Here is a 24493-nt window from a genome sequence, read left to right as displayed (position 1 = left end):
GCACCATATAGTTTTAAATATTGGGGACAGTTTTGTCTGAGGCTTTTTAGATCTTAAAAAAAAAAAAAGCGGGGGGTGGGGAACATTTTTAGCCCAAAGATACCACCAGATACCACCTTGTGATCCCAGTCACTTATTCTCAGGGATGGACACTATATTGATCTCTAACAGCATAGGTCACTTTCCTCTTTTATACTTTATATAAACATCATGCAGCAGGAGCCCTTTTGTACATGGCTTTTAAAATCCAGTAGGTTGTTTTGAGTTTTTCGGTAATTCTGCATGTTGTTTTGGTTTTTTTTTTTTAGCATTGAATTCTGTTGTGTGAATATCAGACAATTAATCACTCCGTGCTGATGCACATATGCATGTGTTTTAGTTGAGGGTATTAGGAACAGGGCTGCTATGTAAATTCCAGAAAATGTATTGGTATTGGTGAAACATGTACAAATTTCTGTTGGGAACATGTGTAATAATCACATTGTTGTGTTGTATGTTTACGTCTCTTCAGCTGTAGGTGATATTACCAGTTTTCCAAAATTGTACCACTTTTTACTTGTAACACTTTTCATGCCAACAAGTAACGTGTGAATTTCCTAGGGTACCCACATCCTTGCCAACACATGGTTTTTTTTTTTTTTTTTGAGACGGAGTCTCACTCTGTCACCCAGGCTGGAGTGCAGTGGCGCGATCTCGGCTCCCTGCAAGCTCCGCCTCCCGAGTTCACGCCATTCTCCTGCCTCAGCCTCCCGAGTAGCTGGGACTACAGGCGCCCGCCACCACGCCCGGCTAATTTTTTGTATTTTTAGTAGAGATGGGGTTTCACCATGTTGGCCAGGATGGTCTCGATTTCCTGACCTCATGATCCGCCCGCCTCGACCTCCCAAAGTGCTGGGATTACAGGCGTGAGCCACCGCGCCCAGCCCAACACATGGTATTTTCTGTCATTTTCATTTAGTCTTCTGGTTGCTGTGTGATGGTCTCAGGCTTTATTTACATTTCTCCGATTACTAACAGACTTGAACATTTCAGCACACTTTTTAGTTATTGAATAACCTCTATTTTGAAGACTTACTTTGCTCATCTCCCGCTATTTTAGGGCTCTTTTTCTTCTTGATTTATGGTGGTTCTTTACATGAAGCTGGATAGGATTCCTTTCTTTGGTATCTCTCTCACTCAGTCTCTCTCTTTCTGTATTTTAATAAGCTCTTAATTTTAATAAAATTTTATTTGTTATTTTTCCCAGTATATTAAATATTTTTTATTTAAGAAATATTTCTCTTAAGGCCACAGAGATTTTGTTTTTTAAATGAGGATGTATATTTAAATTTTTATTTTGCAATTCATTCATAATTGAGTGTTTTTGTGGCTAGGAATTCCATTTTTTCCAGTAAGCTAACAAAATATAATTTATTCTGTATTTTGATAAGGTCTTAATTTTAATAGAATTTTATTTGTTCTTTCCCCAGCATATTAAATGTTTTTTGTTTTATTTAAGAAATCTTTCTCTATTTTAAGGCCACAGAGATGCTGTTTTTGTTTTTTTAATCAGGATGTATATTTAAAATTTGATTTTGCAGTTGATTCAGAATTGAGATTTATGACTAGTAATTTTATTTTTTTCCAGTAAGCTAACAAAATATAATGAATTCTTTTTCATTTGCTGTCACCTGTCATTGTCTCACCCAAGTTAATATCTCACCCTCAGAGCTGACTTTTCTGTGAAGACTGTATAATTCTGTTATTTTCTTCATCTTTCAGTTTTCAGCAGCCCCACAGCACCAAAGAGTCAATGGTAGTTTTGGTCAGAAATCTTCAGTGGGCCTTTTTTGCTCAATGGATAAGTTATTTTCATATTTTATTTATTTGTATGTTTAATTTTAAAATATTAGTTGACAGATAATATTGGATATATTCAAGATATCTCCAAATACACATTGTGTGGTAATTGTTACAAAATCAGTATCATCTGCCGTGACTTAAAAGTTTGTCCTCCGCCTAAATTCATGTTGAAACTTTAAACTCCAAAACAATAGTGTTAACAGGTGGGGGCCTTTAGGAGGTGGTGAGGTCATAAAGGCTGTGCCCTCATCATTGAGATGAATGACTTCATAAAAGGACTTGAGGGAGTGAGTTCTGCCCTTTCTGCCCCTCTGCTGTCTGTGAACATAACATTCAGGATGTCATCTTGAAAGCAGAGACCAAGGTCTTCACCAGAGACAGTCTGCCAATGGCTTGATTTTGCACTTCCCAGCCTATATAACTGTAAGCAATTGAGTTTATGTCATGTATAAACTACCTAGTCAGGTATTTTGTTAAAGCAGCAGGAAGGGACTGAGACAACATCTATTGCCACCCGTGCTGTACATTAGAATGCCAGAACTTATTCATCTTATAACTGAAAGTTTGTACCTTTTCAGCAATGTCTCCCCATTTCCCCTACCTTCTGGCCCCTGGAAACCACTATGTAGTCTGTTTCTACGAGTTCAATGTTTTTAAGCTCCATCTATAAGTAAGATCATATAACATTTGTCTTTCTGTGTCTGACTTATTTTACTTAATATTCTCCAGCTTCATATTTTCACAAATGACTTTATTCTTTTTTATGGCTGAATAATATTTCATTGCGTGTGTGTATCACAATTTCTGTATCCATTCATCTATTAATGAGCATTTAGGTTGTTTCCGTGTCTTTGGCTATTGTGGAAAATGCTGCAATAAACCTGGGATTGCAGAAGTCTCTCTGAGATACTGATTTTATTTCCTTTGGATATAATCCCAGAAGTGGGCTTGCTGGATAATATGGTAGTTCTAGTTTAATATTGTGATGAGCCACCTTACGGTTTTTTATAATGGCTGTATCAATATTCTCATACATGTAAGGGAATGTTGCTCCCTTTTGGAAGACAATTCTTCATGGATCTCTCACTTCATTTTCCCACATCTTGTATAAGCGTTTCTTCTGGGCTGTCTTTTTCAGGATTTTTTTAAATGAAAGAAACAGACTTGAAGGATGTGTATCTTCAGGTCAAAGGCCAAATAAATACCTGGACAATTTAATAAAGATTATGCCTTTCTCTGAGGCAGTGGTTGGAAGGTTTTCTTTGAAACACATGTTAAAGCACTGGGATTTGTTTTTTTTTTCTTTTTTTTGAGACGGAGTCTCACTCTGTCACCCAGGCTGGAGTGCAGTGGCACAATTTCGGCTCACTGCAAGCTCCACCTCCTGGGTTCACGCCATTCTCCTGCCTCAGCCTCCAGAGTAGCTGGGCCTACAGGTACCCGCCACCACACCTGGCTAATTTTCTTTTTTTTTTTGTATTTTTAGTAGAGACGGGGTTTCACCGTGTTAGCCAGGATGGTCTCAATCTCCTGACCTCGTGATCTGCCCGCCTCGGCCTCCAAAAGTGCTGGGATTACAGGCGTGAGCCACCGTGCCCTGCCAAAGCACTGGGATTTCTTAACCTTGAGATTCCTCAGCTGTGATCAAAATCTACTGAGCAGAAAGCATCCAGTTGGGTCTCTTTGATCATCCCTGTCACTTGGAGTGGACGTGGGGAACAGATACAGATATGGAGCTCTTGCTTCCATTTGTGTGATGAACCATCAAATATTTTTCATCAGGCCTAGGAATCTCATGCCTTCTTCTAATATCCATGAAGTTGACAGTCTTCATTTTTTGGCTTGCAAATAGAAAAAAATCCACGAATGTTCACATTTTTGACAGCTTGGGTGATGATGCGATTGATTCTGATAAATCTATAACCTTATAACCTGGTATAAGAGGAAAGTAGAAAGATTCTTCACAGACCTGGCCAGGGCTTATGAGAAGGCTTCCTGGAACAAGTAGCAAATTCTCTTACCCAAATGAGAGTTGAGTAAGAGTAAGATCCCTCCACTCGCCAACCTGTTAGCGAGGTTGTTGTGTGAGAGGGAGAATTGAAAGGAGCAGTCTAAATGTGCTCATATGTTCATTCTCCTAGCCAAAGTAGGAAAGAATGAGGAGTCCACAAAGCTGATAGAGCACTTTGGATAAATAGAAAATACTGTAAGTTCTTGTGGTTTTGCTGAAAGCAGTCAACAGGCTGCTAGAAACTAAAAGGAAATGTGGGTGTTGGTGCCTTGCTTATAAGCAGAGAATCTCTCTCTCTCTATGTACTCGCTGATACCAAAACTTCACTGACAGGGCTTGGGCAGGGTTCACCATGAAAGCAGAAATGTCACAAAACAATGGAGGTGGGGCCTTTGGGGCTAACTCAATGTCTTCTTGTGTTTCTACACCAAAATTTACAGTTAGAATTTTGTTGTATGTGTTTGTGCTTCCCTGTCCCCTAAGTGCCGGAGGGGATTATTCCAGTCTGGGTGGGAGACAGGTAGAAGAGTGTGAGAGAGACAGAATTCTCCATTTGCCACAGAGGGCAGGTCAGTCTTTATCATGAGAACCTTTACACTCTGATATGCAAAATGTTCACCCTGCATGAGCTGTTAGCTGCAAAGACAGAGGTGTCTGTCTCAGTGCTCCTGTCTAGAATAGTAATATCTCTCTGCTAGTAGATGTAGCTGATAATTGAGACTGTGCTTCAAAAAGTTAAAGAAGCAGCCAGGCGCAGTGGCTCACGCCTGTAATCTCAGCACTTTGGGAGGCCGAGCCGTGTGGATCACGAGGTCAGGAGTTCGAGACCAGCCTGGCCAATATGGTGAAACCCCATCTCTAATAAAAATACAAAAATTAGCCAGGCATGGTGGTGCATGCCTGTAATCCCAGCTACTCTGGAGGCTGAGGCAGGAGAATGGCTTGAACCCAGGAAGCGGAGGTTGCAGTGGGCTGAGATCGTGCCACTGGACTCCAGCCTGGGCAACAGAGCAAGACCCCGACTCAAAAAAAAAAAAAAAAGTTAAGCCAATGACTAACAGAAATCCTTGAGTTTACAGGATGGCAAATTAAAAAAAAAAAAAACTTGCTAAAACACTGAAATTCCCTCCACTTACGAGATAAAAGTAATTAGCTGAAATTGGTTTAAACCAATAGAACCAATGGGACTCTGCACAGAATGAGCTTGCTGACATCATAGCCTGAATTTCCACTATGTTTCCTACTAACTCCCCCCAAATTTGCACATATGACCCATGAGGAAGCATGAAGAGATAACTGGGCATGCCCATGGACATTCCAGACCTCCCATTATCATCCGCTAGTCACCTCCTAACCTCAGAAGCTACCCCCCGGTACCTGTTCTAGTAGAAATTCTGCCTTGATGCCAGCAGAGGGAGACAGATTCGGGCTTGGGACTCCTGTCTCTTTGGGAGTGAACTTTCAACATAAAGCTTGTCTCAAAAACAAAAATCCAGTGACAACTCAATGTATTGGCTCTTAGCACATTGGATAGTAAGCACTGTTTTCTCAATAACAAGAAGACCTGAAAAAAACCCAGAGTTCTGCTTTCCAAATAAGGTTTAGTGAAGCTAAGTGGACATATTTTCATTGCTTAATTCTTCCAGCAGTCAAGAAAAACTTGATCACTTTGCCATTTGAGGCCTTTGACAAAAAGAGCCTGCACCTAAAGATATTCTTTGGGGTGTCTGACTCATAGCCACCCTGACACCACTGCAGGTTACACTAATGTGAAAGTCAGTTATAAGCTTGCTACAGAACTCCAGTCAAACTGAATCCAAACTCAAGGAGGGCTGGGGGCTGCCTAGCTTTGTATTCCAATTTTGAGGTGGGTCAATTTGAACTCTTATGAAAGACCTCAAAAGACTACTTGTTAAATATAAATAATGTATTCTAGAAGGAAATTGGACTGGCACAGAAATAGTTCTAAAGGGAAAATCGGAATCTATCTTTGGTGGAAATTTTATGCCCTGCTGCACTATATGAAGCAAAGCTTCTGGCTCTATGGGGCCCCCACTTCACTAAGTATTCCCTAAATTTCTGTCCCTGCTTTACCAATACATGGTGTTCACTGAGCTACTGTCTATGGTGGCTTCTGAACTTCAGTGTCAGCCATGCGGAACCTGAGTGGGGTGGTCACACCACTCAATGGTCAGAACTCAGGGTCATTGCTCACATTATAGCTGTTTGGTCTTTTGCATTAAAAACTATAGACTGTCTGAAAAAAGGAAACCTTTCAGGCTGCAAACTGGAAATAACCTCAGCAGCTGATTTACTGCTGTGTCCAGTCACTCAATTACAAGTCTTTGGCCGGGCGCAGTGGCTCACGCCTGTAATCCCAGCACTTTGGGAGGCTGAGGCTGGTGGATCACCTGAGGTCAGGAGTTTGAGTTGGCCAACATGGTGAAACCCTGTCTCTTCTAAAAATACAAAAATTAGCCAAGCATGGTGGTAGGCGCCTGTAATCCCAGCTACTCGGGAGGCTGAAGCAGGAGAATCGCTTGAACCCAGGAGACAGAGGTTGCACTGTGCCGAGAATGCACCACTGCACTCCAGCTTGGGCGACAGGAGTGAAACTCCGTCAAAAAAAAAAAAAACAGAAGTTTTTAATAAGAGCCTGTTCTCTGAAGAGACTGACTATAACCAGGCTGTGGATTGAATCTGAATCCATGTCTAATGCTGAGGGCAGCACTGCAGCCAGACTTGTGGTTCTTGGTGAAAGGTGATCTTTTTGTCTCACAGTGTGGGAGGCCCCCGACCGTTCTCAATAGAATGACTTCACCGACCTTTTGACTCACTTTGGAAGGTATTGTTAATACCTTGTCACTGCTCACACCATCAACATAAAAACTGACTCCAGACACACCATGTGTCCCTTGAAACTAATCTCTGTCACCTTTTCAAATTTCAGAACCATTTGCACTCTGACAACGTTGTGTCTTTTATCATCAAATCTACTAAAAATTGGCTGATTTTACCATCTTTTCCTTCTCCTGATCCATATGTTACAATTTGTTGACTGAATGTAATTCTTTCTAAAAAGGAATAATCTCTTTTTGACTGCCTCCAGGATAAGAATGAAATGGTTGAGAGCTGTAGAGATCTGTTTCCCAAATTTGAGATTCCACACTGACTACCTGAAAAGATGCATCTCACTGGCCAGGCGCAGTGGCCCACGCCTGTAATCCCAGCACTTTGGGAGGCCGAGGCGGGTGGATCACAAGGTCAGGAGTTCGAGACCGGCCTGGCCAATATGGTGAAACCCCGGTTCTACTAAAAATACAAAAATTAGCCAGGCATGGTGGCGAACGCCTGTAGTCCCAGCTACTCAGGAGGCTGAGGCAGGAGAATTGCTTGAACCTGGGAGGCGGAGGTTGCATTGAGCTGAGATCGGGCCACTGCACTCCAGCCTGGGAGACAGAGCGAGACTCTGTCTCAAAAAAAAAAAAAGAAAGAAAGAAAAGATAATCTTCCTTTCCGCTAAATGCAACCCTAGCTTAGTTTGTACTAGACTAGGGTTTAGAGCTAGTCTTTTGCGGGCTTTCAGAGAGTTCAAATTGACCCACCTCAAAAGTGGAATATAAAGCCACACAGCCCTCAGTCCTCCTTGGGTTAGGATTCAGCTTGACAGGAGCTCTGTAGCAAGCTTTTAGCTGACACCCACCTCAAAAGTGGAATATAAAGCTACGCAGCCCTCAGTCCTCCTTGGGTTAGGATTCAGCTTGACAGGGGCTCGGTAGCAAGCTTTTAGCTGACTTTCACATCAGCTCTAAACCCTAGCTTTCCCCTAACTGCCCCAAGCCTAGTTTGTAGTAGGCTGAGTGGCAACCTAGCCCAAAGTGGGATTATGATACTCCAACTTAGTTGTGGTTGAGTTTTATGTAAACATTTTTGTCGCTATTTCATCTGGCTTTTCTAGATAAAATGTCTAGGAGAAGGTAGGGAGTGACCAGAATAAAGGTGAAATTCTTGGTGCTGAATGAGATACACTAATTTTGTGGATGTAGTTGGGGAGGGATAGCTACCCGAAACCCGCAGAGTAAACAACTGAGACCTCAGGAGATATGGAGAATGGAAGGGCATTAATAACTTTTTGTCTTTCTGAATCACCCTTAGTGAGGGCCAAAGAAAAATCTGGAAATCATGTTGGGAAAGGACAGGGTTAGTATTGGAGCAGATGGTAGGGCAGATGCTGTGGGTTCATATCCTTTTGGTCTCTCCACATCACCCTTCACGGTCCTTTGGGATTGTTCTATCTCTCTCTGTGATGTGGATGTGGAGTTTTATTGAGCATGCATGCTTACTGCCTAGCTGTCTGAGGCTACGGGGGTAGATGATGGAGAACTGTTACTTTTTTTTCTGAGAGACTTAGTATCTCATGGCTGAGCTTAAGCTGGATCTATGGAGCACTGATCCCATTGTCTACTTCTGTGAGCTAGTGCTCCTCCATCTAGTTTCTACCATCTAGAGACGAATCTTATCAATACTTGGGTAAACCAAAGACATAAGTCAGGTAAGGGAATCCTAGACATAGCCCGACTCTTGCCTTTTTCCTCTTCTCACTTTAAATCTTGTTGGCTCAGAGAGTTACCCTCAGATGGAGTCTCTCAGGAGTAATTAGAACATTGTACTTCTAGAGAAGCTGGTGGAACAGGGTAGGGTTCCCAGTTCAAAGCTTCTGTCAAAAACTTCCAGTCTGTGTGTAGTAAATAAATCTAGAAACGATCCTAGAGCTCTGGATGGATCATTAAGAGAGGGCAGGATTTCTGTAGATCAGAATACCAGGACACATGTTCATCCGTCACCTTCCGGGGTCAAATTCTCGGTTAAGCCTGTGTGGTAGGGCTGTAGAGCAGTGTGTGCCTGGGAAAGCCTCTGATCACACATTTCCTCAGGGATTTTTTAGGCCTGATGTCCCTTTGAATTTACTTTAACAATCCTTTTGTAATTTTATTTTTTACATCAATTGTAACTTAGTATTATTATATATATAGGCATTTGGGTGTGTCTTGAAGGCATGTCCTGGTTTCAAACTGATTTGTGGTATATTATTGAATTAGGCCCATTTACTGGAATTATAAACTGCTATCCAACTACACAAAGAGCTGAGGATTCTGGGGAGGTCAGGATGGAGATGAAATAGAAGTGAGGAGAAAATAGCTCTCTCTCTCACATGCAGATTCTTTATGGATAAAATGCATAATTACCTAAAATTTAAAATACTCAAAAAATTATCTAATCAGTATGTAATGGAAATTATAGAGCAAAGAACAAAACAAACACCAAAATAATTTTCTTTTTTCTACATAAAAATTAAATAATTTACATAATGAAATATTCCATGATCCCAGTGTAAAATGCCAATAGAATATATGTAAAAAAAAAAAAAGACAATACCTGTATTAGATTTAAAATCTTCTACAATACATAAGATGAATTGAAATTTTTAGAGTAGAAGAAAGTTTAAAATTAGGTAAATGATATGAGCCAGGTGAAGAATAGGATCATTAAGCATTTAATATACCTTGTCTTAGATTCTGTGTAAGAAAATGAAAAGTAAAAACAATGGCATGGTGATTTCATCAAACTGAAAAAATAGAAGCATTTCTCCAGAGAGAATGCTATTAAAGGTTGGTGAATATCAATCTTCTGAGGACTCGGCCTGGGAGAGTGAAGAGCTACAGCCTTTTCTGAGTTCAAGTGGGGAAGATATAAATATATATTCATTTTGCTACTCTTTTTAATATACAAACATATATGAATGATTACACCCTAATAATATTTTCTGATTTACAGAAATGCATGACTGTCATAAGACAGCCAAAAGACATCAGATGTCTTATATGAAATACAAAATTTGTCAGTAATCAGCCTTAAAGAAAACTGGGTTTACCATTTTCAGTATATTGTTCAAATTCCTTTTCTACAACCACCACAGGTTCTGTTATTAACATGGTGTGTCTAAAGTTGTCACTGCTGGTCATCCAGAAGAATCTGAGAAGCAGCAAGTCTTTGTTTTCACTCCCAGACCTGTTTTCTTTGCTGAATAGGGTCAGGAGACCCCCAGGTCAAGCTTCATCTCATCTATAGATAGGCTGAGTTACCTTTGGTCCAAAAAAGGGCTGGTCCTATCTTTCTCCCAGAAGGAGCTCTGGACTTCTCCAGCCAGGGCTGGACCCTGGCACAAGTCAGGGTGGCTGAGATTCCCAGCCCTCAGCAGGGAACCCAGGCCACCTGGGAGTCCATGGTGTAGAAGTTCTGCACTGCAGCACAGAGGCCCCCAGAGCTGGCAAGCTAAGAGAGCTGCTCCCAGGTCAGCAGAGAATGGACCTACTGTGCTTGTGTCTGAACTAGGTCTTGATAAATGGCCTCAGACTTACCATAGAGGTCACCAGGCTTTTCAGAACTGGCAGCAGGTGGTCTCCTGGGGACTGAGATATGGGCTGCTTGCTGCACCCAGTGCGGACCCTTGGGGATCCACTATGGCAGGCATCACAGGTCTTCTCAGTTTTGCTGCTGTAGGGCCCCCAGCTCATGAACACAGAACAGTCACCTCTCCCATGGCTGAGCATACCCACCAGTAGTGGCCCAGAGTTTCCCCATGGAGAGGCTCCCAGAGGCATATGACAGCCCCTCTGCCATTGCCACAGTAATAGTTCTATCCCTGCTGCCTTTGGTCTGGGGAAGAAACAAAGAACCTGAGAGCTACACCCAAGCTTAACAGCATACCACCACAGCCACCATACCGAGAGACTAGTCTTTTCTCCCTGTGAGCCTTCATCCCATTGCTCCCCAACAAGCAGAACCCCAAGCTTATGCCAGCAGTGCAGGTGCCCCACCCACCAGCTGAACACCCCCAGTAACTATGGTTCTGCATTTCTTGGAGGTGGAGCCCCCAGGAGCAAACAAAAGCCTTGCTACCGCTGTCTGCAGTGGAACTGCCCTTGCTATCCTCAGACAAATGAATGAACAAATACCATAAGTGCCTTATCCACACCTACAACAAACTGCAGTTGACCCAAGGAGAGGAGACCAGTTCATCTCCCACAGGTTCCACCCACTCCCCCTGCTTGTCACCAGATAGGAAACCCTGGGCTTGGTCCCACAGCACAGACCCTCCGTTCTGGGCTGATTGCACTTAGCAATTGCTAACCGGCTCCTCTTGGGTGGAGCCCCCAGGAGACAAGCAAAAGACCTTTGGCCACAACCACTATTAAGGTCCCTTCCTCTGCTGCCTCCAAGCCAGGGGAGGAACATAAGCCCTGAGAGTGCCCCAGAGCTGTGGTGGGCAGCCCAAGAGTGCCAAGCCACAATTTATAGCCAGCATTCAAGTGGGAGAGAAGCCCACACTTTCAGAACATTGAGAGGGAGCATGACTGCAACTGTCAGAAAATATAGGGGAGCCACATGACCAAGCAAGAGCCTACCAACTAACCAGTATGCCTAAGCACCACCTACTGGATCACATCCCGAAGTTCCAACACCAAAAACACCTTGCTAGCATTCCCCTCTGTGAGACCAAAGACAAGTCAGCTACAAATGAAGACCCTGCACAAAGCCTTGGCTCTGCGAAGACATCCAGAAAAAAAAGTGTACTGACTGTACTCAATCTACACTGCAGTTACAGGAACACCCACCTGCAGACATGAGAAAGAACCAATGAAAGAACTCCAGTAACTCAAATGGCCAGAGTGTTGTATGTCCTCCAGATGACCACACCAGTTTTTCAACAAGGGTTCTTACTCAGGCTGAGCTGGCTGGAATGACAAATGGAATTTAGAATATGGATAGGAATTAAGATCATCAAGATTCAGGAAAATGCAAAACCCAATCCAAAAAAACTAAGAATCACTGGAGCTGAAAGACAAGATAACTGATATAAAAAAGAGCCTGATGGTTCTGACAGAGCAGAAAAACACACTACAAGAATTTCATAATGCAGTCACAAGTATTAACAGCAGAATAGACCAAGTGGAGGAAAGACTCTCAGAACATGAAGACTGGCTCTCTGAAATAAGACAGTCAGAAAAATTAAAAAGAATAAAAAATAACAAAACTTCTGAGCAATATGGTATTTTGTAAAGTGGCCAAATCTATGAATTATTGGCATCCCTGAAAGGGATGGGAAGAAAGCAAACAAGTTGGAAAACATTCTAGGATATCATCCACGAAAACTTCCCCAACCTTGGTAGAGAGGCCAGCAGTCACATTCAGGGAAACCAGAGAACCCCTGCAAGATTCTACACAATAAAATCATCCCCAAGACACACAATAATCAGATTTTCCATGGTCAAAATAAAAGAAAGACTGTTAAAGGCAGCTATACAGGGCAGGTCACCTACAAAGGTCACCCCATCAGGCTAACAGCAGACCTCTCAGCTGAAACCCTATAAGCCAGAAAAGACTCAGGGCCTATATTCAACATTCTTAAAGAAAAAAATCTTCAACCAAGAATTTCATACCCAGCCAAACTAAGCTTCCTAAGTGAAAGGGAAATAAGATCCTTTTCAGACAAGCAAATGCTGAGGGAGTTCATTACCACCAGACCTGCCTTATGAGAGATCTTGAAAGGAGCACTAAATATAGAAAGAAAAATCTGCTACCAGCCAATACAAAAACACACTTAAATACACAGATCAGTGACACTATAAAGCAACCACACAAACAAGTCAGCATAATAACCAGCTAACAACATGACAGGATCAAATCCACACATATTAATACTAATCTTGAATGTAAACAGGCTAAATGCCCTGCTTAAAAGGCGCACAATGGCAAGCTCCATAAGAAGGCAAGACCTGATGGTATGTTGCCTTCAAGAGACCCATGCAGTGACCTAGGATCAAAATAAAGAGATGGAGAAAAATCTGCCAAGCAAATGGAAAACAGAAAAGCAGGGGTTACAATCCTAGTTTCTGACAAAACAGATTTAAACCAATAAAGATTTAAAACAACAAGGGTATTACATAGTGGTGTGAACCGTGAAAATTTGAGATGGGTCTCAGTAATTTAGAAAGTTTATTTTGCTAAGGTTGAGGACACGCATCCATGACACAACCCCAGGAGGTCCTGACAACATGTGCCCAGGGTGATCGGAGCACAGCTTGGTTTTACACATTTTAGGGAGACATGAGACATCAATTAACATATGTAAGATGAACATCGGTTCAGTCCAGAAAGGCAGGACAACTCAAAGCAAAAGCAGGACAACTTGAAGTCGGGAGGGAGCTTTCAGGTCATCGGTAGATAAGAGACAATGGTTGCATTCTTTTGAGTTTCTGACTAGCCTCTCCAAAATGAGGCAGTCAGATATGCATTGATCTCAGTGAGCAGAGGGTTAACTTTGAGTAGAACGGAAGGCAGGTTTGCCCTAAGCAGTTCCCAGCTTGACATTTCCAGTTATTTGTTACTGTCAATCATGTTCACACTCAGCTTTAAACAATTTGCCAATTACACTTTCAATTTTCCTACAGATGTACTGGTTCATGAAGATGTGCTTATGGGTTTCTACTCTAGTAAGTTTTGGGTCTATGTATGTACCTTTCTTTCTCTGCACTCTTGGGGCAAGGAATTGCCATGTGATTGATCGGAGAATTGTTCATTTTAAATTAGTCCAGAATTTTTATGTTTTATTTCTTCTAAAACAAACGAAAACGGGATACGTGTAGAACATGTGAGTTTGTTACATGGGTATACATGTGCCGCGGTGGTTTGCTGCACCTATTGACCTGTCCTCTAAGTTCCCTCCCCTCACCCCCCAACCCCCAACAGCCCCTGGTGTGTGTTGTTCCCCCTCTGTTTCCATGTGTTCTCAATGTTCAGCTCTCACTTATGAGTGAGAACGTGCAGTGTTTAGTTTTCTGTTCCTGTGTTTGCTGAGGATGATGACTTCCAGCTTCATCCATGTCCCTGCAAAGCACATGATCTCATTCCTTTTTATGTCTACATAGTGTTCTATGGTATATATATACACATATATATATACACCACATTTTCTTTATCCAGTCTATCATTGATGGGCATTTGGGTTGGTTCCATGTCTTTGCTGTTGTAAATAATGTTGCAATAAACATACGTGTGCACGTGTCTTTATAGTAGAATGATTTATATTCCTTTGGGTATATACCCAGTAATGGGATTGCTGAGTCAAATGGTATTTCTGGTTCTAGATCCTTGAAGAATCGCCACACTGTCTTCCACAATGGTTGAACTAATTTACATTCCCACCAACAGTGTAAAAGCGTTCCTATTTCCCCACAGCCTCACCAACATCTATTGTTTCCTGACTTTTTAATAATCACCATTCTGACTGGCATGAGATGGTATCTCATTGTTTTGATTTGCATTTCTCTGATGATCAGTGATGTTGAGCTTTTGTTCATGTGTTTGTTAGATGCATAAATGTCTTCTTTTGAGAAGTGTCTATTCATATCCCTTGCCCACTTTTTGATGAGTTTTTTGTTTTTTCTTGTAAATATATTTAAGTTCCTTGTAAATTCTGGATATTAGACCTTTGTCAGATGGATAGATTCCAGAAATTTTCTCCCATTTTGTAGGTTGCCTGTTCACTCTGAGGACAGTTTCTTTTGCTGTGCATAAGCTCTTTAGTTTAATTAGATCCAATTTGTCAGTTTTTGCTTTTGTTGCAATTGCTGTCGGCATTTTTGCCATGAAGTTGCCCACGCCTATGTCCTGAGTGATATTCCCTAGGTTTTCTTTCTTTTTTTTTTTTTTTTTTTTTTTGTATTTTTAGTAGAGACAGGGTTTCGCTATGTTGGCCAGGCTGATCTCGAATGCCTAACCTCATGATCCACCCACCTTGGCCTCCCAAACTGCTGGGATTACAGGCACGAGCCACTGCACCTGGCCTCCCTAGGTTTTCTCCTAGGGTTTTTATGGTTTTGGATTTTACATTTAAATCTTCAACCCATCTTGAGTTAATTTTGGTATAAGGAAGCAGTCCAGTTTCCATTTTCTGCATATGGCTGGCTAGTTTTCCTAGCACCATTTACTGAATCAGAGATCCTTTCTTCATTGCTTGTTTTTGTCAGGTTTGTCGAGGATCAGATGGTTTTAGATGTGTGGTGGTATTTCTGAGGTCTCTGTTCTGCTCCGTTGGTCTATATATCTGTTTTGGTACCAGTAGCATGCTATTTTGGCTGCTGTAGCCTTGTAGTATAGTTTGAAGTCAGGTAGCATGATGCCTCCAGCTTTGTTCTTTTTGCTTAGGATTGTCTTGGGTATATTGGGTCTTCTTTGACTCCATATAATTTTTTTTTTTTTTTGAGATGGGTCTGACTCTGTTGCCCAGGCTAGAGTGCGGTGGCATGATCTTGGCTTACTGCAACTTCCAACTCCTGGGATCAAGTGATTCTCTTGCCTCAGCCTCCCCAGCAGCAAGGATTATAGGTGCACACCACCACGCCTGGCTAATTTTTGTATTTTTAGTAGAGATGGAATTTCACCATGTTGGCCAAGCTGGTCTCAAGCTCCTGACCTCAAGTGATATACCCGCCTTGGCCTCCTAAAGTGCTGGGATTACAAGCATGAGCCACTGTGCCTGGCCAATTTCACATGAAATTTTAAATAGTTTTTGCTAATTCTGTGAAGAATGTCAATGGTAGTTTGATGGGAATAGCACTGAATCTGTAAATTACTTTGGGCAGTGTGGCCATTTTTGTGATACTGATTATTCCTATCCATGAAGATGGAATTTTTTCCATTTGTTTGTGTCCTCTCTTACTTCCTTGAGCAGTGGTTTGTAGTTCTCCTTGAAGAGGTCCTTTACATCCCTTGTTAGCTGTACTCCTAGGTATTTTATTCTCTTTGTAGTGATTGTGAATGGGAGTTCATTCATGATTTGACTCTCTGCTTGCCTATTGGTGTAACCAAATGCTTGTGATTTTTGCACAGGGATTTTGTATCCTGAGACTTTGCTGAAGTTGCTTATCAGTTCAAAACGTTTTGGGGCTGAGATGATGGGGTTTTTCAAATATAAAATTATGTCATCTACAAACAGACTTCCTCTCTTCCTATTTTAATACCCTTTTATTTCTCTTGCCTGATTGTCCTGGCCAGAACTTAGGAGTGGTGAGAGAGGTCATCCTTGTCTTATACCAGTTTCCAAAGGGAATACTTCCAGCTTTTGACTATTTAGTATGATATTGGCTGTGGGGTTGTCATAAATAGCTCTTATTATTTTGAGATATGTTCCATCAATACCTCGTTGATTGAGAGTTTTTAACATGAGAGGATGTTGAATTTTATTGAAGGCCTTTACTTCATATATTGAGAGAATCATGTGGTGTTTGTCTTTGGTTCTCTTTATCTGATGGATTATGTTTATTGATTTGCATGTTAAACCAGCCATGCATCCCAGTAATGAAGCTAACTTGATCGTGGTGAATAAGTTTTTTGATGTACTGCTGGATTCAGTTTGCCAGTATTTTCTTGAGGATTTTTGCATTGACGTTCATCAGGGTTATTGGCCTGAAGTCTTCTTTTTTTGTTGTGTCTCTGCCAGGTTTTGGTATCAGGATGATGCTAGCCTTATAAAACGAGTTAGGGAGGAGTCCTTCCTTTTCAATTGTTTGGAATAGTTTCAGAAGGAATGGTATCTGCTCCTCTTTGTATTTCTGGTAAAATTCTGCTGTGAATCCATCTGGTCCTGGGCTTTTTTTGATTGGTAGGCTATTAATTACTGCCTCAATTTCAGAGCTTGTTATTGGTCTACTTAGGGATGTGACGTCTTCCTGGGTTAGTCTTGGTAGGAGTCCAAGAATTTATCCATTTCTTCTAGATTTTCTAGTTTATTTGCATTGAGTGTTTATAGTATTCTCTGATGGTAGTTTTTATTTCTGTGGGGTCAGTGGTGATAACTCCCTTTATCATTTTTTATTGTATCTTTTTGATTCTTCTCTCTCTTATTAGTCTAGCTAGTGGTCTATTTTGTTAATTATTTCAAATAACCAGCTCCTGGGTTTGTTGATTTTTTTGGAGGGTTTTTTGTGTCTCTGTCTTCTTCAGTTCTTATCTTAGTTCTTTCTTGTCTTCTGCTAGCTTTTGGAATAGTTTGCTCTTGCTTCTAGCTTTCTGATGTAGGCATTTAGTACTATGATTTTTCCTCTTAACATTGTTTTAGCTGTGTCCCAGAGATTCTGGTACATTGTCTCTTTGTTCTCATTGGTTTCAAAGAACTTCTTGATTTCTGCTTTAATTTTATTATTTACCTAGCAGTCATTCAGGAGCAGGTTTTTTGATTTCCATGAAATCGTGTGGTTTGGAGTGAGTTTCTTAATCCTGAGTTCTAATTTGATTGCACTGTGGTCCGAGAGACTATTATGATTTCAGTTCATTTGCATTTGCTAAGAAGTGTCTTACTTCCAATTATGTGGTTGATTTGAGAATAAGTGCCATGTGGCACTGAGAAGAATGTATATTCTATTGATTTGTGGTAGAGAGTTCTTTAGACATCTACTAGGTCACTTGATCCAGAGCTGAGTTCAAGTCCTGGATATCCTTGCTAATTTTCTGTCTCATTGATCTAATACTGACAGTGGGGTGTTAAAATCTCATACTATTATTACACAGGAGTGTAATTCCCTTTGTAGGTCTGTAAGAACTTGTTTTATGCATCTGGGTGCTCCTGTATTGGGTGCATATATATTTAGAATAGTTAGCTCTTCCTGTTGAATAGTTCCCTTTACCATTATGCAGTGCCCTTTTTTGTCTTTTTTGATCTTTGTTGGTTTCAAGTCTGTTTTGTCAGAGACTAGGATTGCAATCCCTGCCTTTTTTTTGCTTTACATTTGCTTGGTAAATATTCCTTCATCCCTTTATATTGAACCTATGTGTGTCTTTGCACATAAGATAGGTCTCCTGAATACAGCACACTGATGAGTCTTGACTCGTTATCCAATTTGCCAGTCCAAGTCTTTTAATTGGGGCTTTTAGCCCATTTACATTTAAGGTTATTATTATTATGTGTGAATTTGATCCTGTTGTCGTGATGCTATTTTGTTATTTTGCCCATTAGTTGATGCAGTTTCTTCATAGTGTCATTGGTCTTTATATTTTGGTGTGTTTTTGCAGTGGCTGGTACCAGTTTTTTCTTTCCGTATTTAGTGCTTCTTTCAGGAGCTCTTGCAGCACGGGCCTGGTAGTAACGAAATCCTTCAGCATTTGTCTGGAAAGGATTTTATTTCTCCTTCACTTATGAAACTTAGTTTGGCTGAATATGAAATTCTGAGTTGAAAATTCTTTCCTTTAAGAATGTTGAGGCTGGGCGCCGTGGCTCATGCCTATAATCCCAGCACTTTAGGAGGCCGAGGTGGGTGGGTCACCTGAGGTCAGGAGTTTGAGGCCAGCCTGACTAACATGATGAAACCCTGTCTCTACTAAACACAAAAAACTTGCCGGGCATGGTGGTGCATGCCTGTAATCCCCGCTACTTGGGAGGCTGAGGTGGGAGAATCGCTTGAACCTGGGAGGTGGAGGTTGCAGTGAGCTGAGATCGCACCACTGCACCCCAGCCTGGGTGACAGAGTGAGACTCCATCTCAAAAAAAAAAAAAAAAAAGAATATTGAATATTGATTGAATATTGGCTCCCTATCTCTTCTGGCTTGTAGTTTCTGCTGAGATGTCTACCGTTAGTCTGATGGGCTTCCCTTTGTAGGTGACCTGGCCATTCTATCTGGCTGCCCTTAACAGTATTTCCTTCATTTTGACCTTGGAGAATTTGCTGATTATGTGTCTTGGGGTTGTTCTTCTTGAGGAGTATCTTAATGGTGTTCTCTGTATTTCCTGAATTTGCATGTTGGCCTGTCTTGCTAGGTTGGGGAAGTTCTCCTGGCTAATATCCTGAAGTGTGTTTTCCAGTTTGTTTCCATTCTCCCTGTCTCCTGCTGGTACTCCAGTCAATCATAAGTTCAGTCTTTTTATGAAGTCCCTTATTCCTTGGAGGCTTTGTTAATTCTTTTTCATTTTTTTTTCTCTCTTCTTGTCTGCATGTCTTATTTCAGTAAGGCAGTCTTCATCTTTTCTGAATGTCTTATTTCAGTAAGGTGGTCTTCACACTCTGATATCCTTTCTTCCACTTGGTCAATTCAGCTGTTGATACTTGTGTGTGCTTCATGAAGTTCTCATGCTGTGTTTTTCAGGTCCACCAGGTCATTTGTGTTCTTCTCTAAACTGGTTATTCTAGTTAGCAATTCCTTTTGTAGCAGGAGGAGCCACAGACAAAACTCCTCAGACACCGGGTTAAAGAGGGAAGGAGCTTTATTCAGCTGGGAACTTCAGCAGACTTGCGTCTCAAAAGCCAAGCTCCCTGAGTGAGCAATTCCGTCCCTTTTAAGGGCTCACAACTCTAAGGGGGTCTGCGTGAGAAGGTCGTGATTGATTGAGCAAGCAGGGGGTATGTGACTGGGGGCTGCATGCACTGGTAATCAGAACGGAACAGAACAGGACAGGGATTTTCACAGTGCTTTTCTATGCAATGTCTAGAATCTATAGATAACACAACCGGTTAGGTCAGGGGTCGATCTTTAACTACCAGGCCCAGGGTGTGGCACCGGGCTGTCTGCCTGTGGATTTCATTTCTGGCTTTTAGTTTTTACTCTTTCTTTTGAGGCAGAAATTGGGCATAAGACAATATGAGGGGTGGTCTCCTCCCTTATTCTAACCTTTTATCAAGGTTCTTAGCTTCTTTGCATTGGGTTAGAACATGTTCCTTTAGTTCATTGTAGTTTTTTATTAGCCATCTTCTGAAGCCTACTTCTGTCAGTTTGTCCAACTGATCCTCCATCCAGTTCTGTGGCCTTGATGGAGAGATGTTGTGATCATTTGGAGGAGAAGAGGTACTCTGGCCTTTTGGGTTTTCAGCATTTTTTCATTGATTCTTTCTCATCTTTGTGAGTTTGTCTAGCTTCAGTTTTGAGGCTGCTGGCTCTTGGATGGGGTTTTTCTGAGGGCCTTTTTTGTTGTTGTTGTTGACACTGTTGTCAGTTTCTGCTTGCTTGTTTTTCTTTAAGTAGTCAGGTCCCTCTTCTGTAGGGCTGCCTCAGTTTGCTGGGGGTTCACTTCAGGCGTATTCATCTGATTCACTCCCATGCCTGGAGATGCCACTCAAGGAGGCTAGAGAAGAGCAAAGATGGGTGCCTGCTCCTCCTTCTGGGACTTCTTACCTCAAGGGACACCAACCGGATGCCAGTAGCATCACTCCTGAATAGGGTGTCTGACAACCCCTGTTGGAGGGTCTCACCCAGTTGGGTGGCACAGGGAAAAGGACCCGTTTAATGAAAGACTTTGTCCCTTGGTGGAGAGGGTGTGCTTCACTGGGGGGAAACCCACTCACCTAGGCTGCCAAGATTCCTCAGAACTACCAGGAGGAGAGGCTAAGTCTGCTGGTCAGCAGAGACTGCGGCCACCCCTCCCCCTAGGGGCTCAGGCCTAGGGAGATCCAAATTCTGTCCCTGAGCATCTGGCTGGAGTTATTGGAGACCCTCCAGGGAAGCCCCACCCAATGAAGAAGGGATTAGGCCTGAAGAGGCACTCTGGCTGCAAACTGCCACAGCCGGTGTATTGGGCTGTAGGGACAGGTCTTGGGACCTAGCTGTACAGCCTCCCTGGCTAAAGCAGGGGAAAAGTGCAGCCTGGAGCTATAGAAATGGGTGCCAACCTCCTCCCGTCCAGGGAGCTTAGCACGTTAGGCAGTTGGAGTCCCAGTACTGGCTGCTGCCCCTCCCCAAGGAACTCAAATGGCTTAGACAGCAGGCAGCCACGGCCAGTGCTGGTTGCCCCTCCCCCTGGGAGTTGGGTAGGCTTAAGTAGATTCCAGCTGAAAGGCTGTAAGAATCTGGGCGTTCCAGGGTTGGGACGGCAGGCCTCGGTGGCGTGGGTTTGCGAGTGGGATCTTCCAATCCGTGGGTTGCACAGCTCCATGGAAATAGCAGTTTCCCCAGCTGGGTAGCGCACTCACTCACTGCCTCCCTGGGCTGGAGGAGGAGGCTCCCCTTCCCCGCCTGGCTCTCAGGTGGGCCGCAGCACCACACTGTTCTTCCTTCTCTCCATGGGTCACACCATCCTTCTAGTCAATTTTGATGAGAGAACCTGGTTGCTGGTGAAGGATTCACATGCTTATTATGAGTTTTTTAGTTTGTTTGTTTTGTTTTGATTGTCGCCCAGGTTGGGGTGCAATGGCATAATCTCAGCTCACTGCAATCTCCACCTCCTGGGTTCAAGCGATTCTCCTGCCTCAGCCTCCCGAGTAGCTGGGATTACAGGCATACGCCACCACGCCCAGCTAATTTTTCGTATCTTTAGTAGAGATAGGTTTCACCATGTTGGTCAGGCTGGTCTTGAACTCCTGACCTCATGATCTGCCCACCTCGGCCTCCCAAAGTGCTGGGATTACAGGCGTGAGCCACCGCGCTTGGCCCCCACTTTGTTTCAAATGAAAAAATACTCAGTGTTTGAAGAGTCCAGCAAAATCACTCAAACTCTGCTTTTATGTATGTTGGAGGGAATAAAATTGCAAGGCACTTACATTTCATACCTCAACAGGGAAAGCAGAAGTATTCCTTTCATACAATAAACAAGTCATGTAATTATTTACATGATAACATATTATTTCATAAAGAAATTATTTCGATGTTAACACATCTAAAAATGCCAAGTCCCCACCCACAGATTTGCCATTAAACTTGGACATCCAGGTAACAGGAAACAGAGTCATCCACTGTCACAGAATCTCCGCTCGGCACAAAGGTGGAACTGATGCTTTAGTGAGCTTCTGTTAGTGAGTATACTTTCTTGTGAAAACGTATTTTTCTGCAGCCATAATGGAAGACAGTGTCCCTATTTTTCCCTGGTAGCATTCCCAAAGCTAAGCCCTGGAATTCGGGTTGAAACCACCCCCAGAAAAGAACAAACCTGTGAAACTTACTACACTCCCTCTGGGCAAGAAAAAAGCCATTTAAGAATTTTTAACAAATGAAATATATGACTAGATATCTAATATTTTTCTGATATACACCTCTTTCTTGGCCTTTTGAAAATATTATCTCTCAAGCTGTACTGATAAAATGTATTTTTCAATCAGCGAAAAACTGAAGTTAAAATAAGTGAACAAGTATTTTCAAGGTGACAAACGAGTAGCAGTACTGACGAGCACGGACATGGCTGACTCAAGGGTCAAGTCAGACCATCCCATCTCCTGAATCCTCCCACCCCATCCTGCTCGGGGAAGTACTCAATGTCCACCCTCCCTCTCATCTCCTGAATCCTCCCACCCCATCCTGCTGGGGGAAGTACTCAATGTCCACCCTCCCTCTCATCTCCTGAATCCTCCCACCCCATCCTGCTCGGGGAAGTACTCAATGTCCACCCTCCCTCTCATCTCCTGAATCCTCCCACCCCATCCTGCTGGGGGAAGTACTCAATGTCCACCCTCCCTCTCATCTCCTGAATCCTCCCACCCCATCCTGCTCGGGGAAGTACTCAATGTCCACCCTCCCTCTCATCTCCTGAATCCTCCCACCCCATCCTGCTGGGGGAAGTACTCAATGTCCACCCTCCCTCTCATCTCCTGAATCCTCCCACCCCATCCTGCTCGGGGAAGTACTCAATGTCCACCCTCCCTCTCATCTCCTGAATCCTCCCACCCCATCCTGCTCGGGGAAGTACTCAATGTCCACCCTCCCTCTCATCTCCTGAATCCTCCCACCCCATCCTGCTGGGGGAAGTACTCAATGCCCACCCTCCCTCTCATCTCCTGAATCCTCCCACCCCATCCTGCTGGGGGAAGTACTCAATGTCCACCCTCCCTCTCATCTCCTGAATCCTCCCACCCCATCCTGCTGGGGGAAGTACTCAATGCCCACCCTCCCTCTCATCTCCTGAATCCTCCCACCCCATCCTGCTGGGGGAAGTACTCAATGTCCACCCTCCCTCTCATCTCCTGAATCCTCCCACCCCATCCTGCTGGGGGAAGTACTCAATGTCCACCCTCCCTCTCATCTCCTGAATCCTCCCACCCCATCCTGCTGGGGGAAGTACTCAATGCCCACCCTCCCTCTCATCTCCTGAATCCTCCCACCCCATCCTGCTGGGGGAAGTACTCAATGTCCACCCTCCCTCTCATCTCCTGAATCCTCCCACCCCATCCTGCTGGGGGAAGTACTCAATGTCCACCCTCCCTCTCATCTCCTGATCCTCCCACCCCATCCTGCTCGGGGAAGTACTCAATGTCCACCCTCCCTCTCATCTCCTGAATCCTCCCACCCCATCCTGCTGGGGGAAGTACTCAATGTCCACCCTCCCTCTCATCTCCTGAATCCTCCCACCCCATCCTGCTGGGGGAAGTACTCAATGCCCACCCTCCCCCAGAAAACTGCGCCGTGTCCCCACTGTGCCCCAAATGCATTTTGCTTTTCAGGTTCCTGCCTCACTGCGGGGCGGGGTTTCCTTGTACTTTGGAATAGCTGTTCTCCCTTCACAAGCATGAGACAATCCAGAGGGCAGAAATTCTTTCTTCCCTCAATACCAGTATCCGACTGCCTGACCAGCATTTTGTCTCTAAGGAGTGATAACGGGGGTAAGAGAAAAAAAAAAATCTAAGTCCTAGTGGATTAGCTTTTTAGAGGAAGAGTATAGAAGAGTATCCCAGGAGACTCCTCTCGGTCCCAGGGGATTCATGCCATCCAGCTGCTCCTCTGAGAGGCTCCACCCCTAAACCTCACCTTGTCTTCTGGGAGAAGAGGACCCAACAGCTGACATTCACTATTTATGACACTCCAAGAGACAGGGCCAGTGTGGGCACATTAGGTCATCCTCAAACAGTTTTGAACCCAGGACCCAGAAAAGACAGGAGGGTGGCTGAGGACACAACACCACGTGAAGGTTCCAAAGGGAAACCTCCATCCAAAGACGTTTGTGAGTGTGCCTAGGGAAGACAAAAGGAGGAGAGGTACAAAGAATTTTTTATAGTGGACTAGATCAGGTGATTATTCTCTGTTTTCACAAGGAATGTTCAGAAACAGCTCCTCACTGCTCAGTGAAAACATGATAAACAATTACAATACTGCATCTGGTTCAAATGCACAATAAAGAACAAATAATAATGTTGTAAATTGGAAAGGGGAAGTTGGAGTTTGAGAGTACGAGGAAGAAACTGGAAATTCAGAATTTTACTGCAAGTTCTAGAAGAGTTAGGCTGGGGAATACGGTCATGGATTTGAGACCCTGCTTGCCTTACATTTGGAAAATGCAGGGGAAACCAGTACCCTTGTGGAAATAATTAAATAGGAAGAAATTAGACTGAAGTTGTAGCAGGACAAGCTGCAGACAAAACCCCTCAGACACCGAGTTAAAGAAGGAAGGGCTTCATTCTGCCGGAAGCTTTGGCAAGACTCACGTCTCCAAAAAACCGAGCTCCCCAAGTGAGCAATTCCTGTCTCTTTTAAGGGCTTACAGCTCTAAGGGGGTCCGCGTGAGAGGGTCGTGATCGATTGAGCAAGCAGGGGGTACGTGACTGGGGGCTGCATGCACCGGCAATCAGAACGGAACAGAACAGGACAGGGATTTTCACAGTGCTTTTCCATACA

The 24493-nt window shown here is 43.2% G+C and overlaps 1 protein-coding gene across 2 annotated transcripts in view; it reads left to right on the top strand.

Annotated features, from left to right (window-relative positions):
• The window catches only part of ZNF124 (zinc finger protein 124), a 50405-nt gene that overhangs the window by 20257 nt on the left and 5655 nt on the right, over positions 1–24493 (top strand). Inside the window, exon 4 of one of the 2 annotated variants that reach the window (NM_001297567.2) lies at positions 13366–13978. The exons of the other annotated variant lie outside the window; for it this stretch is intronic. Coding sequence (NP_001284496.1) covers positions 13366–13381 — 16 coding nt within the window. The 3' untranslated portion in view covers positions 13382–13978. Of the gene's footprint in view, positions 1–13365; positions 13979–24493 lie in introns of those variants that run through there. 2 annotated transcript variants of the gene reach the window in all.

This window comes from Homo sapiens, chromosome 1 (assembly GCF_000001405.40).
Source record: "Homo sapiens chromosome 1, GRCh38.p14 Primary Assembly".
Taxonomy (NCBI): Eukaryota; Metazoa; Chordata; class Mammalia; order Primates; family Hominidae; genus Homo; species Homo sapiens.
Note: the sequence above shows the minus strand (reverse complement) of the source record. Positions and strands in the feature narration are given on the sequence as shown.